This window comes from Homo sapiens, chromosome 15 (genome assembly GCF_000001405.40).
Source record: "Homo sapiens chromosome 15, GRCh38.p14 Primary Assembly".
Classification (NCBI taxonomy): domain Eukaryota; kingdom Metazoa; phylum Chordata; class Mammalia; order Primates; family Hominidae; genus Homo; species Homo sapiens.
Window position 1 is genome coordinate 76,579,784 of NC_000015.10, and position 14,963 is coordinate 76,594,746.

At 39.1% G+C, this 14,963-nt stretch overlaps 1 protein-coding gene and 1 non-coding gene across 27 annotated transcripts in view; one reads left to right on the forward strand and one right to left on the reverse strand.

Moving 5' to 3' along the window:
- Nucleotides 1-14,963, reverse strand: part of SCAPER (S-phase cyclin A associated protein in the ER) — a 557,437-nt gene that overhangs the window by 231,880 nt on the left and 310,594 nt on the right. The gene's annotated exons all lie outside the window — the stretch shown is intronic.
- MIR3713 (microRNA 3713) lies at nt 6,864-6,908 on the forward strand. Its single transcript, NR_037464.1, has one exon. It is a non-coding gene; the product is annotated as a microRNA 3713 (primary transcript).

Genomic DNA, 14,963 nt, shown 5'->3' on the forward strand with positions numbered 1-14,963 from the left:
TTCTCCTATAAAGACACACAGACTGAAAATAAAGGGATGGAAAAAGATATTACATGAAAATGGAAACCAAACAAGAGTACAAGTAGCTATACTTATGTCAGAAAAAATACATTTCAAGACAAAACTATAAAGAGAAACAAAGAATGTCATTATACAATAATAAAAGGGTCAATTCAGTAAAACAATATAATAATTATAAATATATATGCACCAAATATTGGAGCACACAGATATGTAAAGCAAATATTATTAGAACTAAAGAGAGAGACAGACCCCAATACAGTAACACCTGGAGACTTCAGCACCCCACTTTTAGCACTGGACAGATCATCCAGACAGAATATCAACAAAGAAACACTGGATTTAATCTACACCATAGACTAAATGAACCTACTAGATATTTACAGAACATTTCATCCAATGGCTGAAGAATACACATTCTTCTCCTTAGCACATGGATCATTCTCATGGACAGTCCAAGTGTTAGACCACAAAATAAGTCTTAAAAAATTCAAAAACCTGAAATTGTATCAATAGTCTTCTCTGACAAAACTAGAATAAAACTAGAAATCAATAAGAGGAATTTTGGAAACTATACGAACACATGGAAATTAAACCACATGGTCCTGAATGACCAGTGGGTTAATGAAGAAGTTGAGAAAAAAATTAATACTTTTCTTGAAACAGCTGTCTGTGTGTGGTGGCTCATGCCTGTAATCCTAGCACTTTGGGAGGCTAAGATAGAAGGCCCCCTTGAAGCCAGGAGCTTGAGGCTAGCCTGGACAGGAAAGCAAGACCCCATCTCCACACATAAAAAAAAATCTTGAAAATATTATAATGGAAACATAACATAACAAGACCTATCAGATACAGTGAAAGCAGTACTAAGAGGAAAGTTTGTACCTATAAGCATTTATATCAAAGAAGTAGAAAAACTTCAAATAAAAAACCTATAGCTACATCTTAAAGAACGAGAAAAGCAAGAGCAATCCAAACCCCAAATTAGAAGAAAAGAAATTATAAAGATCAGAGCAGAAATGAATGAAATTGAAAGAAAATAATACAAAAGATCAGTGAATTGAGAAGTTGGTTTTTTGAAAAGATAAACAAAATCAACAAACCTTTAGTCAGACTAAGAAGAAAAGGACCCAAACAAATAAAATCAGAGATGAAAAAGGAGACATTATAACCAATACCACAGAAATTCAAAGGATCATTAGAGGCTACCATGAGCAACTATATGCCAATAAATTGGAAAGCCTAGAAGAAATAAGTAAATTCCTACACATATACAACCTACCAAGGCTGAACTACGAAGAAATCCAAAATCTGATGAGACCAGTAAACAACTAATGAGATTGAAGCCATAATAAAAAGTCTCCCAACAACAACAACAAAAAAAAGTCCAGGACCTGATGGCTTCACTACTGAGTTTAACCAGATATTTAAAGAAGTAATATCAATCTTATCAATCTTACTCAAACTATTCTAAAAAGTGGAGGAGAAGGGAATATTTTCAAACTCATTCTAGGAGGTTAGTATTATCCTGATACCAAAACCAGACAAAGCACAAAAAGAAAACAATAGGTCAATATCCCTGATGAACACTGATATAAAAATCCTCAACAAAATACAAGCAAATGGAATTCAACAACACATTAAAAAGATCATTCATTGTGACCAAATGAGATTTATCCCAGGGATGCAAGGATGGTTCAACATACGCAAAGCAAACGATGTGATACATCATATCAACAGAATGAAGGACAAAAACGATATAATCATTTCAATTGATGCTGAAAAAGCATTTATTTTTGTTTGGAGACAGAGTCTCGCTCTGTTGCCCAGGCTGGAGTGCAGTGGTGTGATCTCAGCTCACTGCAACCTCTGCCTCCCAAGTTCAAGCCATTCTTGTGCCTCACCTCCTGACTAGCTGGAACTACAGGCTCACACCACCATGCCTGGCTAATTTTTTGTATTTTAGTAGATAAGGGGTTTCACCATGTTGCCCAGGCTGGTCTCGAACTCCTGAGCTCAGGCAATCTGCCAGCCACAGCCTCCCAACATGCCAGGATTACAGGTGTGAGCCACCATGCCTGGCCTGAAAAAGCATTTGATAAAATTCAACATTCATTCATGATAAAAACCCTCAAAAAACTGTGTATAGAAGGAACATACCTCAACACAATAAAAAACATATATGACAGACACAGAGCTAGTATACTGAACAGAGAAATGCTAAAAGCCTTTCCTCTAAGAACTGAAACAAAACAAGGATGCCCACTTTCACTGTTATTTAACATAGTACTGGAAGTCCTACCTAGACCAATTGGACAAGAGAAAGAAATGAAGGGCATCCAAATTGAAAAATAAAAAGTCAAATTATCCTTCTTTGCAGATGATATGATCTCATGTTTGGAAAACCTAAAGACTCCACCAAAAAACTATTAGAACTAATAAACAAATTTAGTAAAACTGTAGGATATAAAATCAACATATGAAAATCATTAGCATTTCTACATCCTGACAGCAAACAATCTGAAAAAGTCAAGAAACTAATCATATTTACAATAGCTTCAAATAAAATGAAATACCTAGAAATTAACCAAAGAAATAAATGATCTCTACAATGAAAACTATACAACACTGATGTAAGAAACTGAAGAAGACACATGAAAAGGCATTCCATGTTGATAGAATGAAAGAATATTGTTAAAATGTCTATATTATATGAAGTAATCTACAGTTTCAATGCAATCTATCAAAATACTAACGAAATAAGTATTTTTCTATTTCACGGAAATTGAAAAAGCAATCTTAAAACTTATATAAAAGTACAGAAGACGCAAAATAGCCAAAGCTATTCTGAGCAAAAAGAACGAAACAGAAGGAATCACACTATCTGACCTCAAAGTATACTACAAAGCTATAGTAACCAAAACAGCATGGTACTTACATAAAGACAGACACATAGTCCAGTGGAATACAATAGAGAATCTAGAAACAAATCCTTACATCTACAGAGAACTCATTTTTGACAATGTCACCAAGAATATACATTGAGGAAAAAACAGTCTCAAGACAGTCTCTTCAATAAATGGTGCCGAGAGAACTGGATATCCATACTCAAAAGAATGAAACTGGTTCCCTATCTCTTGTCATATACAAAAGTCAAATCAAAGAGAATTAAAGACTTAAATCTAAGACCTCAAACTATGAAACTACTACAAGAAGACACTAAAGAAACTCTCCAGTACATTGGACTGAGCAAAAATTTCCTGAGTGTAGGCCAGGTGCAGTGACTCATAACTGTAATCCCAGCACTTTGGGAGGCTAAGGTGGGCGGATCACGAGGTCAGGAGTTTGAGACCAGCCTGGCCAACATAGTGAAACCCTGTCCCTACTAAAAATTAAAAAATTAGCCAGACATGGTGGCACATGCCTCTAGTCCCAGCTACTCGGGAGGCTGAGGCAGGAGAATTGCTTGAACCCGGAAGGCAGAGGTTGTGGTGAGTCGAGATTGAGCCACTGCACTCCAGCCTGAGCAACAGAGTGAGACTCCATCTCAAAAAAAAAAAAAAAAAACTTGAGTGTAATCCCATAAGCATGGATAACCAAAGCAAAAAATGGACAAATGGGATCACATCAAGTTAAAAATCTTCTGCATAGCAGAGGAACGAATCAATAAAGTGAAGAAACAACCCACAGAATGGGAGAAAATATTTACAAACTATCCATCTGACAAAGGTGTAACAACCAGAATATATAAGAGCTGAAAGAGCTCTGTAGGAAAAATATCTGATAATCTAATTAAAAAATGGGCAAAAGATCTGAATAGACATTTCTCAAGAGAAGACATACAAATGGCACACAGGTATATGAAAAGGTGCTCAACATCATTGATAACAGAAAAATGCAAATCAAAACTACAATGAGATATCATCTCACTCCAGTTAAAATGGCTTTTACCCAAAAGGCAATAACAAATGCTGGTGAGGATGTGGAGAAAAGGAAACCCTCATGCACTGTTGGTGGGAATGTATTATAAATTAGTAAAACCACTATGAAGAACAGTTTGGAGGTTTCTCAAAAAACTAGAAACAGAGCTACCATATGATCTAGCAATCCCACTGGTGGGTATATACCCAAAAGAAAAATCAGTATATTGAAGAGGTATCTGTTCTCCCATGTTTATTGCAGCACTATTCATAATAGCCAAGATTTGGAAGCAACCTAAATGTCCATCAAGAGATAAACAGATAAAAAAAATGTAGTATATGTACAGAATGGAATATATCACCAATAAAAAGGAATGAGATCTTGTCATTTGCAACAACACAGGTGGAACTGGAGGTCATTATGTTAAGTGAAATAAACCAGGTGAAATAAGACAAACTTTCCTTGTTTTCACTTATGTTTGGGAGCTAAAAATTAAAACAACTGAATTCATGGAGATAGAGAGTAGATCGATGGTTACCAGAGGCTGGTAAGGGTAGTGGGGAAGTGTGTGTCATTAATAAGTACAAACATATAGTTAGATAGAATGAATAAGACCTAGCATTTGATACCATAACAGAATGACTACAGTCAACAATTTATTGTACATTTTTAAATAACAGAGTATAATTGGATAGTTTGTGACATTAAGAGAGGATAAATGCTTCAGGTGGTGGACATCCCATTTACCCTGATGTGATTATTATGCATTATATACCTGTATCAAAATATATCATGTACCCATAAACATATACACCTACTGTGTGCCCACAAAAATTAAATATAAAAAAATGCAAAATCTAAGGCTCAAGAAAGTTATGTGATCTTCCCAAGGTCACACAGTTGGTAAAATGTACTATGGAACTTGAAACCTAAGCCTTTAATCTTCAAATCTTATGCTTTTGCGTTCTTACCGTATTAGTCAATTTAATTTTTACTTATTTATTTATTTGTAAAAGACAGGGTCTTGCTATGTTGCCCACACTGTTCTTGAACTCCTGGGCTCAAGTGATCCTCCTGCCTCAGCCTCCCAAAGTGCTGGAATTACAGATGTGAGCCCACCATGTCCAGCCTCAATTTAAATAAGAAAGTTCTATTCACAAAAGACTATATTCCCAGAATACAATTTCATCTAAAAATTTATGTAAACGTTAAAATTTTTCAAAGAATACAACAACAAATGCCACTCAAAAAGGCACTGGTGAACTTCAGTTTAAGCCTCAGCTATTTACATGAAGCTTACTTTGATAAGTCAAAGAACAGAAATAGAAACTCTAAAATCAAAAGTACCTATACTTGAATTCTGGCTCCAGCACACACCATGTGTATAAACCCTGGGGAGGTTATTTAACTTCTCTGAATCTCAGTTTCTTCATCTTAAAAGTCAGGATAATATATATTTCTTTTCAGAGCTTTGGGAGGTTAGAAATGATTACTATAATAATCCTGACACCACACACTAAAGTAGACATTCAATAAATGGTCGACTATTATTACTGTTCACTGATAGTATGTCTCAATCTAACAAATGGAAAAAGAGAATATTAAAAATAAAAAAAAAAGTTGAGTAATGGCAGCATACTTCTTTTACCTTCCAATCAAATATGGGCTAGAGTCACATCCAATTAAAGTTACTGACCTTATGTGGAAGATTATTGGCAGTGAACTTCACTGTGTGATAGGTAAGTAGCCACTTCAGCTTTTGGCTAATGTCTGCATACCATGTAACTAAATATGCAGCCATAGCAACAGATATATATGAATCTAGCACTATTCTTAACAAGAATGCTGACATTTGACTGAAAATCAGCAGTACTGAGGGAGGCACAAGGACCATTTTAATTCACAGAATACAAGAGGCTTGTATTTCACCCTGAGGTAAATCAATTCTGAACCTATCCTTCAAGAAAGAATGCCAAATCAAGGGGATGCTTTGGTAATTTGAGCTACACCCCTGTCTCATTCCCTGCCTTCACAGAAGTACAACAAATAAAATAGCCCCTGTAAAGAAAAAAGCACTAGATTTTAATTCATACTATAAATAATTATAGAATGTCAGAGAAGTCAAGCTCTGAGAGCTATATTTTCCTCACAGTGCAAAAACAGGAGCTGCTTAGAGAGTGTAGTTTTTAACAACAGAAAGTTTTATTTGGATTCCTTCTGGCAGATAATTTTTCTAGCATGAAAAGAAGAAGTGAAGGCATTGTATCTCCCAACCTAGGAATATGAGAAGTATCTGTCAGGTAAATGGTTTTGTGAATAATGCTGTAAGATCAATATTTTCTTCTTAAAACTGGAACAAATTTCAGCAACTCTAAGCTCAAGTCTGTCATTGGTAAATATGAAATGTAAAAGTATCTCTCCCAGAATTCCTAACTTTTATCATAGTTAAGTTTGCATGGGGTGGTGGGGTGGTCCACTAGGATCATTTAGAAGATTTGTAAAAGTGTAAAAAAAGATACTTGGTCCATTTAGGAACTAAGATTGTTCTTTAGCATAATGGATAGGAAGACATAAATTAATTAACCTTTCATATCCTCTATTTGGAAGGTACATGGTCTAAATTTAGAGCTATTTTGAGACATTCATATCTGGAATTAATTAAATAAATTTAGGGCTTTATTTAGACATTCAGATCAGGAATTAGCCATTTCCCCAAGAAGCTCTTGTTTCTTTTACTGAGAAAAGATATTTCAAACCCCAAATCAGTGAGCACTAGAGATGCTCTTTGCTACTGAGTTGGGCATTCTTTTCATGCCTCTTCAATGAACAGAGCTAGAAAATAAATAAATGAATGTATATACATATGCATACATATATATGTGTGTATAAATGTGTGTGTGTATATTACATATACAGTTATCCTTGGTATCCGTTTGGGGATGGTTTCACTATCCCCAGATGGATACCAAAATCAGATGCTCAAGTCTACTAAATATCAGGGATATTGGTCTCTTCATCAGGGATATTTGTCTGTAGTTTTCTTTTTTTTTTATGTTCTTTCCTGGTTTTGGTATTAGGGTGATACTGGCTTCATAGAATGATTTAGGGAGGATTCCCTCTTTCTCTATCTCGTGGAATAGTGTCAGTAGAATTGGTACCAATTCTTCTTTGAATGCCTGATAGAATTCAGCTGTGAAACTGTCTGGTCCTGGATTTTTTTTTGTTGTTGTTGATAATTTTTAAATTATCATTAAATCTCACTGCTTGTTATTGGTCTGTTCAGGCTTCCTAATTCTTCCTGATTTAAGCTAGGAGGGTTGTATCTTTTCAGAAATTTATCCATCTCCTCTAGGTTTTCTAGTTTATGAACGTAAAGGTGTTCATAGTACCCTTGAATGATCTTTTGTATTTCTGTGGTGTCAGTTGTAATATCTCCCGTTTTATAATTGAGCTTATTTGGATCTTCCCAATCAATAGAATGGTCTGTTGATTTTATTTATCTTTTCAAAGAATCAGCTTTTTGTTTCATTTATCTGTTGTATTTATTTTTTGGTTTCTATTTCATTTAGTTCTGCTCTGATCTTGGTTATTTCTTTTCTTCTGCTGGGTTTGGGTTTGGTTTGTTCTTGTTTCTCTAGTTCATTGAGGTGTGATCTTAGATTGTCTATTTGTGCTCTTTCAGACTTTTTGATGAAGGCATTTAAGACTATGAACAACTTTCCTCTTTGCTGTATCCCAGAGATTTTGATAGGCTGTGTCACTGTTATTGTTCAGTTCAAAGAATATTTAAATTTCCATCTTGATTTCATTGTTGACCCAATGATCATTCAGGAGCAGGTTATTTAATTTCCATGTATTTGCATGGTTTTGAAAATTCCTTTTGGAGTTGATATCCAATTTTATTCCACTGTGGTCTGACAGAGTACATGATATAATTTCAGTTTTCTTAAATTTATTGAGACTTGTTTTGTGGCCTATCATATGGTCTACATTGGATAAATTTCCATACAACTGATTAATAGAATGTATATTCTGTGGCTGTTGGGTAGAAATATCTGTTAAGTCCCTTTGTTCTAGGATATAGTTTAAATACATGGTTTCCTTGTTGACTTTCTGTCTTGATGACCTGCCTAGTGCTGTCAGTGGAGTACTGAAGTCCCCCACTATTACTGTGCTACTGTCTTTCTCATTTCTTTTTCTTTTCTTTTTTTTTTTTTAAGACAGAGTCTTGCTCTGTCGCCCAGGCTGCAGTGCAGTGGCACAATCTCAGCTCACTGCAAGCTCTGCCTCCCAGGTTCACACCATTCTCCTGCCTCAGCCTCCCGAGTAGCTGGGACTACAAGCGCCCACCACCATGCCTGGCTAATTTTTTGTATTTTTTAGTAGAGACGGGGTTTCACCGTGTTAGCCAGAATGGTCTTGATCTCCTGACCTCGTGATCTGCCTGCCTCAGCCTCCCAAAGTGCTGGGATTACAGGCGTGAGCCACCGCGCCCGGCCCTGTCTCTCTTATTTCTTAGGTAGCAGTAGTTGTTTTATAAATTTGGGAGCTCCAGTGTTAGGTGCATATATGTTTAGGATTGTGATATTTTCCTGTTGTACAACATCTTTCATCATTATATAATGTCCCTCTTTGTCTTTTTCAATCGCTGTTGCTTTGAAGTTTGCTTTGTCTGATATAAGAATAGCTACTCCTATTCGCTTTTGGTTTCCATTTGCATGGAATGTCTTTTTCTACCCCTTTACCTTAAGTTTATGTGAGTCCTTATGAGTTAGGTGAGTCTCTTGAAGTCAGCAGACGCTTGGTTAGTGAATTCTTACCCATTCTGCAATTCTGTATCTTTTGAGTGGAGCATTTAGGCCATTTACATTCAACGTGAGTATTGAGATGTGAGGTACTATCCCATTTGTTGTGCTGTTGGTTGCCTGTATAACTTGTTTGTCTTTAAATTGTATTTTTGTTTTATAGGTCCTGTGAGATTTACGCTTTAAAGAGGTTCTATTTTGATGTGTTTCTAGGATTTGCTTCAAGATTTAGAACTCCTTGGCCAGGTGTGGTGGCTAGTGTGATTTTTGGGGGGGGTGTTAAAGAACCTTGTTTTGCCATATTACCAGAATTGTTTTTCTGGTTCTTTTTCATTTGGGTAGGCTATGTCAGAGGGAAGATCTGGCACTCAAGGCTGCTGTTCAGATTCTTTTGTCCCATGGGCTGTTCCCTTGATGTAGTACTCTCCACCTTTTCCTAGGGATGTGGCTTCCCGAGAGCTGAACTGTAGTGATTGTTCTCTTCTGGATCTAGCCACACAGCAGGACTACCAGGCTCCAGGCTGGTACTGGGGGGTATCTGCACAGATATCTCTAATGTGAACTGTCTTCAGGTCTCCCAGCTGTGGAGATGGCAAGGGAATGAAATGGACTCTGTGAGGGTCCTTAGTTGCAGTCGTTTAATACACTAGTTTTGTGTTGTTTGGTCTCCTGCCAGGAGGTGGCATTTTCAAGAGAGGATCAGCTGTAGTAGTATAAGGGAGGATCTGGCGGTGGGTGGGGCCCAAGAACAGCTAACAGAATATGACCTTTGTCTTCAGCTACCAGGGTGGGTAGTGAAGAACCATCAGGTGAGGGCAGGGTTAGGCATGTCTAAGCTCAGATTCTCCTTGGGTGGGGCTTGCTGCGGCAATGGAGTTATGTTCCCAGGAGGATTATGGCTGCCTCTGCTGTGTCATACATGTTGTCAGGGAAGTGGGGAAAAGCTGACAGCCACAAGCCTTCCCCGGCTCCCATGCAACCCAAAAGGCTGGTGTCACTCCCACTGTGCCCCCTGCAACAGCACTAAGTTTGTTTCCAGGCAGTGGGCAAGCTCAGCTGAGAACATGCCCCAGGCTACCAGCCTCCCAGCTGAGAAAGCAAGGAGGGCTTTCACACCTCCTTGCCTGTTGAGTCTGCACACTGGATTCATGCTCTCCCTCAAGTTCTGGCCAGGAGACTTCGCGTTTGGTTGGAATTGTTACAAAGTTCTGCTGGAGGTTTCCTTCTCCCTGTGGTCTTTTCCCAGTTCCTCTGGCAGCCCTCTGGAAGGACCCCTGTGAGACAAGTCAAAAATGGCTTCCCTGGGGATGCAGAGAGCCCACAGGGTTTCTGCCGTGGCCTCCTCTACCCCTGTATTTCATGCTGCTCTCTAAATTGACTCAGCTCCAGGTAAGGTCAAATCCTTCTTCCACGATCTGGAACTTCAGGTTCCCCTGTGTGTGTTTGGGGGTGGACCATCCTCCTTTCCCACTTTCACAATTTGGGCACTCACAGTATTTGGACTGTCTCCCAGTGGATCGTAGGAGCAATCCACTTCCTTCAGAGGGTCTGTGGATTCTCTCGGCTTTGCTGGTATATTCCTGCAGTAGTTCTTGGAGCAAAAGTTCAACAGTGCAAGTCTCCACACACACTGCTCTGTCTGTCCAAGTGGGAACTGCAATTTAGTCCCGCCTCCTATCTGCCATTTTCGAGTGTGACTAGATAGAATGTTATAAGTTGGAAATGGAGGCTTGGATGAAAATTAAGTCTGATTTTTAACTCATGAACTAAAATACAAGTTTATATATTTGAATAAGCAGCCTATGAAAACATGGAAAATGTATTTTTTTCAATAGCATCCTATTTAAGGGAAAGAGAATGTCATAACTGTTGGCAGAGTGTAAATACACTATAAAAAATTACAAGGTTCTATTAAAATCAGAATGCACATAGACTTTGGCCCAAAAAATTTCATTTCTAAGCAAGACTGGGTACATAATTTGCATGGCTATTATTAAAAAGACAAAAAAACAGATGTTGATGGGGATGCAGAAAAAAGGGAATGCCTATATAATGTTGGTGGGAATGTAAATTAGCACAACCTCTATGGAAAACAGAATGAATATTTCTCAAAGAACTACAAATGGAACTGCCATTTGATCCAGCAATCCCACTACTGGATGTCTACCCCAAGGAAAAGAAATCATTTTATCAAAAAGATACCTGCACTTGTATGTTTATCACAGTTTATTCGATATAGGAAAGATATGGAATCAACCTAAGTGTCCATCAACAGATGACTGGATAAAGAAAATGTGATACATACACACAAGGAAATACTATTCAGTCATTTAAAAAATGAAATCATGTATGTTTGCAGCAACATGAGTGGAACTGAAGGCCATTATTTTAAGTGAAATAATTCAGAAACAGACAAATACTGCATCTTCTTTCTTCTAAGTGGGAGCTAAATAATGTGTACACATGGACATAGAGTGTGGACTGATAAACAATGAAGACTCATAACTGCAGGCGAGGTGGTGAATGATGAGAATGACTTAATGGGTATAATGTACATTTTATCAGTGATGGATACACTAAAAGCCCAGACTACACCACTATGAAATATATCTTTGTAACAAAGTTGCACTTGTACCTCAACCCTTAAATTTATACAAATTAAAAAAAAGAAAAAGAAAAATGCAGGGTCCTTCATTCAAATGTATTAACAATTTCAAGACAGCAATAGTCGACTTAAACCAGGGTGGAACCCTTCCGAGTGCAGGCTGCACGCCCAGGAGGACAGTTTGGTTTTCTGCCCTGCAAAATTACATATATACAATGTCATATAAATAAAGTTCTTGTCTGTGGCAATAACAAAAACAATGGAAAGGGGAAAAATATATGTGGACAACAATAGAGTAATTCTTGAATATATTACAGAATATTCTTTTAATATATCTACATATTTTTGAGACAGGGTCTCGCTCTGTTGCCCAGGTTGGAGTGCAGAGGTGCAATCATGGCTCACTACAGCCTCAACCTCTTGGGCTCAAGTGAGTCTCCCACCTCAGCTTTCTGAGTAGCTGGGATTACTGGCACATGTCACCATGTCTGGCTACTTTTTGCATTTTTTTTGTAGAATACTCAAACAATAGAATACTATGTATCACTACTAAAGTAAAAAAGTACACAAAATATTAACAGTAAAAAGCAAGTTGCCAATCAAAATATATATATAAGTTTCTACAAAGAAAGATTAAAAATATAGGCTGGGCCGCAGTGGCACATGCCCATAATCCCAGTACTTTGGGAGGCCAAAGTGGGTGGATTGCTTTACCTCAGCAGTTTGAGACCAGCCTGGGCAACATGGCAAAACCCCATATCTACAAAAAATACAAAAATTATCCAGACAGGGTGGCGCATGCCTGTAGTCCCAGCTACTTGGGGGGCTGAGGTGGGCAGACTGCCTGAGCCTGGTAGGCTGAGGCTGCAGTGAGCTGATATTGCACCATTGCACACTACCCTCGGCAACAGAGTGAGATCATGTGTCTCAAAAAATGTATATCTATCTATCTATCTACCTACCTACAGATTATATATATAATATCTATGTTATATATATAGAGAGATATATAGGTAATATATAGGTTATATAGGTTCTACATATAGGTATATAAAAATAGGTAATACTTAGGAATGAAATTAAAATATTTTTAAAATGGCATCTTAGAGGAAAGGAAGATATTTTAGAAATAAAGAGGCATTTCAATTATGACTTTATGTAATTGTTAAAGCAGAGTTAGGCCAACTACAGCCCACAGCCCACTGCTCAAATAAAATGTTATTTGAATATGGTCACACAAATTGATTTATGTATTCTCTGTGACTCCCTTATGCTACAAAGATAGACAGTTGAATAAGTGAGACTCACAAAGCCTAAAATATAGACCCTCACTTTAGGCCCACAAACCCTAAAATATTTACAACCTGGTCCTTTCTAAAAAAATGTTTGGTGGCTGGCAAGATGGCCAAAAGGAACAGCTCCATTCTGCAGCTCCCAGCGAGATCAACGCAGAAGGCAGGTGATTTCTGCATTTCCAACTGAGGTACCTGGCTCATCTCACTGGGACTGGTTAGACAGTGGGCGCAGCCCATGGAGGGTCAGCCAAAGCAGGGTGAGGTGTTGCCTCACCTGGGACGCGCAAGGGTTTGGGGAACTCCCTCCCCTAGCCAAGGGAAGCCTTGAGGGACTGTGCCTTGAGGAATGGTGCACTCCAGCCCAGATACTATGCTTTTCCTAAGGTCTTTGCAACCCGCAGACCAGGAGATTCCCTTGGGTGCCTATGCCACCAGGGCCCTGGGTTTCAAGCACAAAACTGGGTGGACTTTTGGGCAGACACCGAGCTAGCTGCAGGAGTATTTTTTTATACCCCAGTGGCACCTGGAACACCACCGAGACAGAACCATTCATTACCCTGGAAAGGGGGCTGAAGCCAGGGAGCGAACTCGTCTTGCTCAGCAGATCCCACCCCCACAGAGGCCAGCAAGCTAATATCCACTGGCTTGAAATTCTTGCTGCCAGCACAGCAGTCTGAAGTCGACCTGGGAAGCTTGAGCTTGGTGTGGGGAGGGGTGCCTGCCATTACTGAGGCTTGCGTAGGCAATTTTCCCCTCACAGGGTAAACAAAGCCACTGGGAAGTTCGAGCTGGGTGGAGGCATCATAGCTCCGCAAAGCTGCTATAGCCAGACTGCCTCTCTAGACTCCTCCTCTCTGGCCAGGGCATATCTGAAAGAAAGGCAGCAGCCCCAGTCAGGGGCTTATAGATAAAACTCCCATCTCCCTGGGGCAGAGCACCTGGGGGAAGGGGCGGCTGTGGGCACAGCTTCAGGAGACTTAAACATTCCAGCCTGCTGACTCTGAAGAGAGCAGCGGATCTCCTAGCACAGTGCTCGAGCTCAAATAAAGGACAGACTGCCACCTCAAGTGGGTCCCTGATCCCCATGCCTCCTGACTGGGAGACACCTCCCAGCAAGGGGTCAACAAACACCTCATACGGGAGAGCTCTGGCTGGGATCTGGTGGGTGCCCCTCTGAGACAAAGCCTCCAGAGGAAAAAACAGACAGCAATCTTTGCTGTTCTGCAGCATCCACTGGTGATACCGAGGCAAACAGGATCTGGAGTGGACCTCCAGCAAACTCCAGCAGACCTGAAGTACAGGGGCCTGATTGTTAGAAGAAAAACTGACAGACAGAAAGGAATAGCATCAACAGCAACAAAAAGGACATCCACACAGAAACCCCATCCGAAGGTCACCAACATCAAAGACCAAAGGTAGATAAATCCAGGAAGATGAGGAAAAACCAGCACAAAAAGGCTGAAAATTCCAAACACCAGAAGGCCTCTTCTCCTCCAAAGGATCACAGCTCCTTGCCAGCAAGGGAATAAAACTGGATGGAGAATGAGTTTGACAAATTAACAGAAGTAGGCTTCAGAAGGTGGGTAATAACAAACTCCTCTGAGCTAAAGGAGCATGATATAACCGAATGCAAGGAAGCTAAGAACCTTGAAAAAAGGTTAGAGGAATTGCTAACTAGAATAACCAGTTTAGAGAAGAACATAAATGATCTGATGGAGCTGAAAAACACAACACGAGAACTTCGTGAAGCATACACAAGGATCAATAGCTGAATCAACCAAGCGGAAGAAAGGATATCAGAGACTGAAGATCAACTTAATGATATAAAGCATGAAGACAAGATTAGAGAAAAAAGAATAGAAAGGAATGAACAAAGCCCCCAAGAAATACGGGAATATGTGAAAAGAACACAACTACGTTTGATTGGTGTGCCTGAAAGTGACTGGGAGAATGGAACCAAGTTGGAAAACACTCTGCAGGATATTATCCAGGAGAACTTCCCCAACCTAGCAAGAAAGGCCAACACTGAAATTCAGGAATTACAGAGAATGCCCCAGAGATACTCCTCGAGAAGAGCAACCCCAAGACACATAATCATCAGATTCACCAAGGTTGAAATGAAGGAAAACATGTTAAGGGCAGCCAGAGAGAAAGGTCGGGTTATCCACAAAGGGAAGCCCATCAGACTAACAGCGGATCTCTCTGCAGAAACTCTACAAGCCAGAAGAGAGTAGGGGCCAATACTCAACATTATTAAAGAAAAGAATTTTCAACCCAGAATTTCAAATCCAGCCAAATTAAGCTTCATAAGCAAAGGAG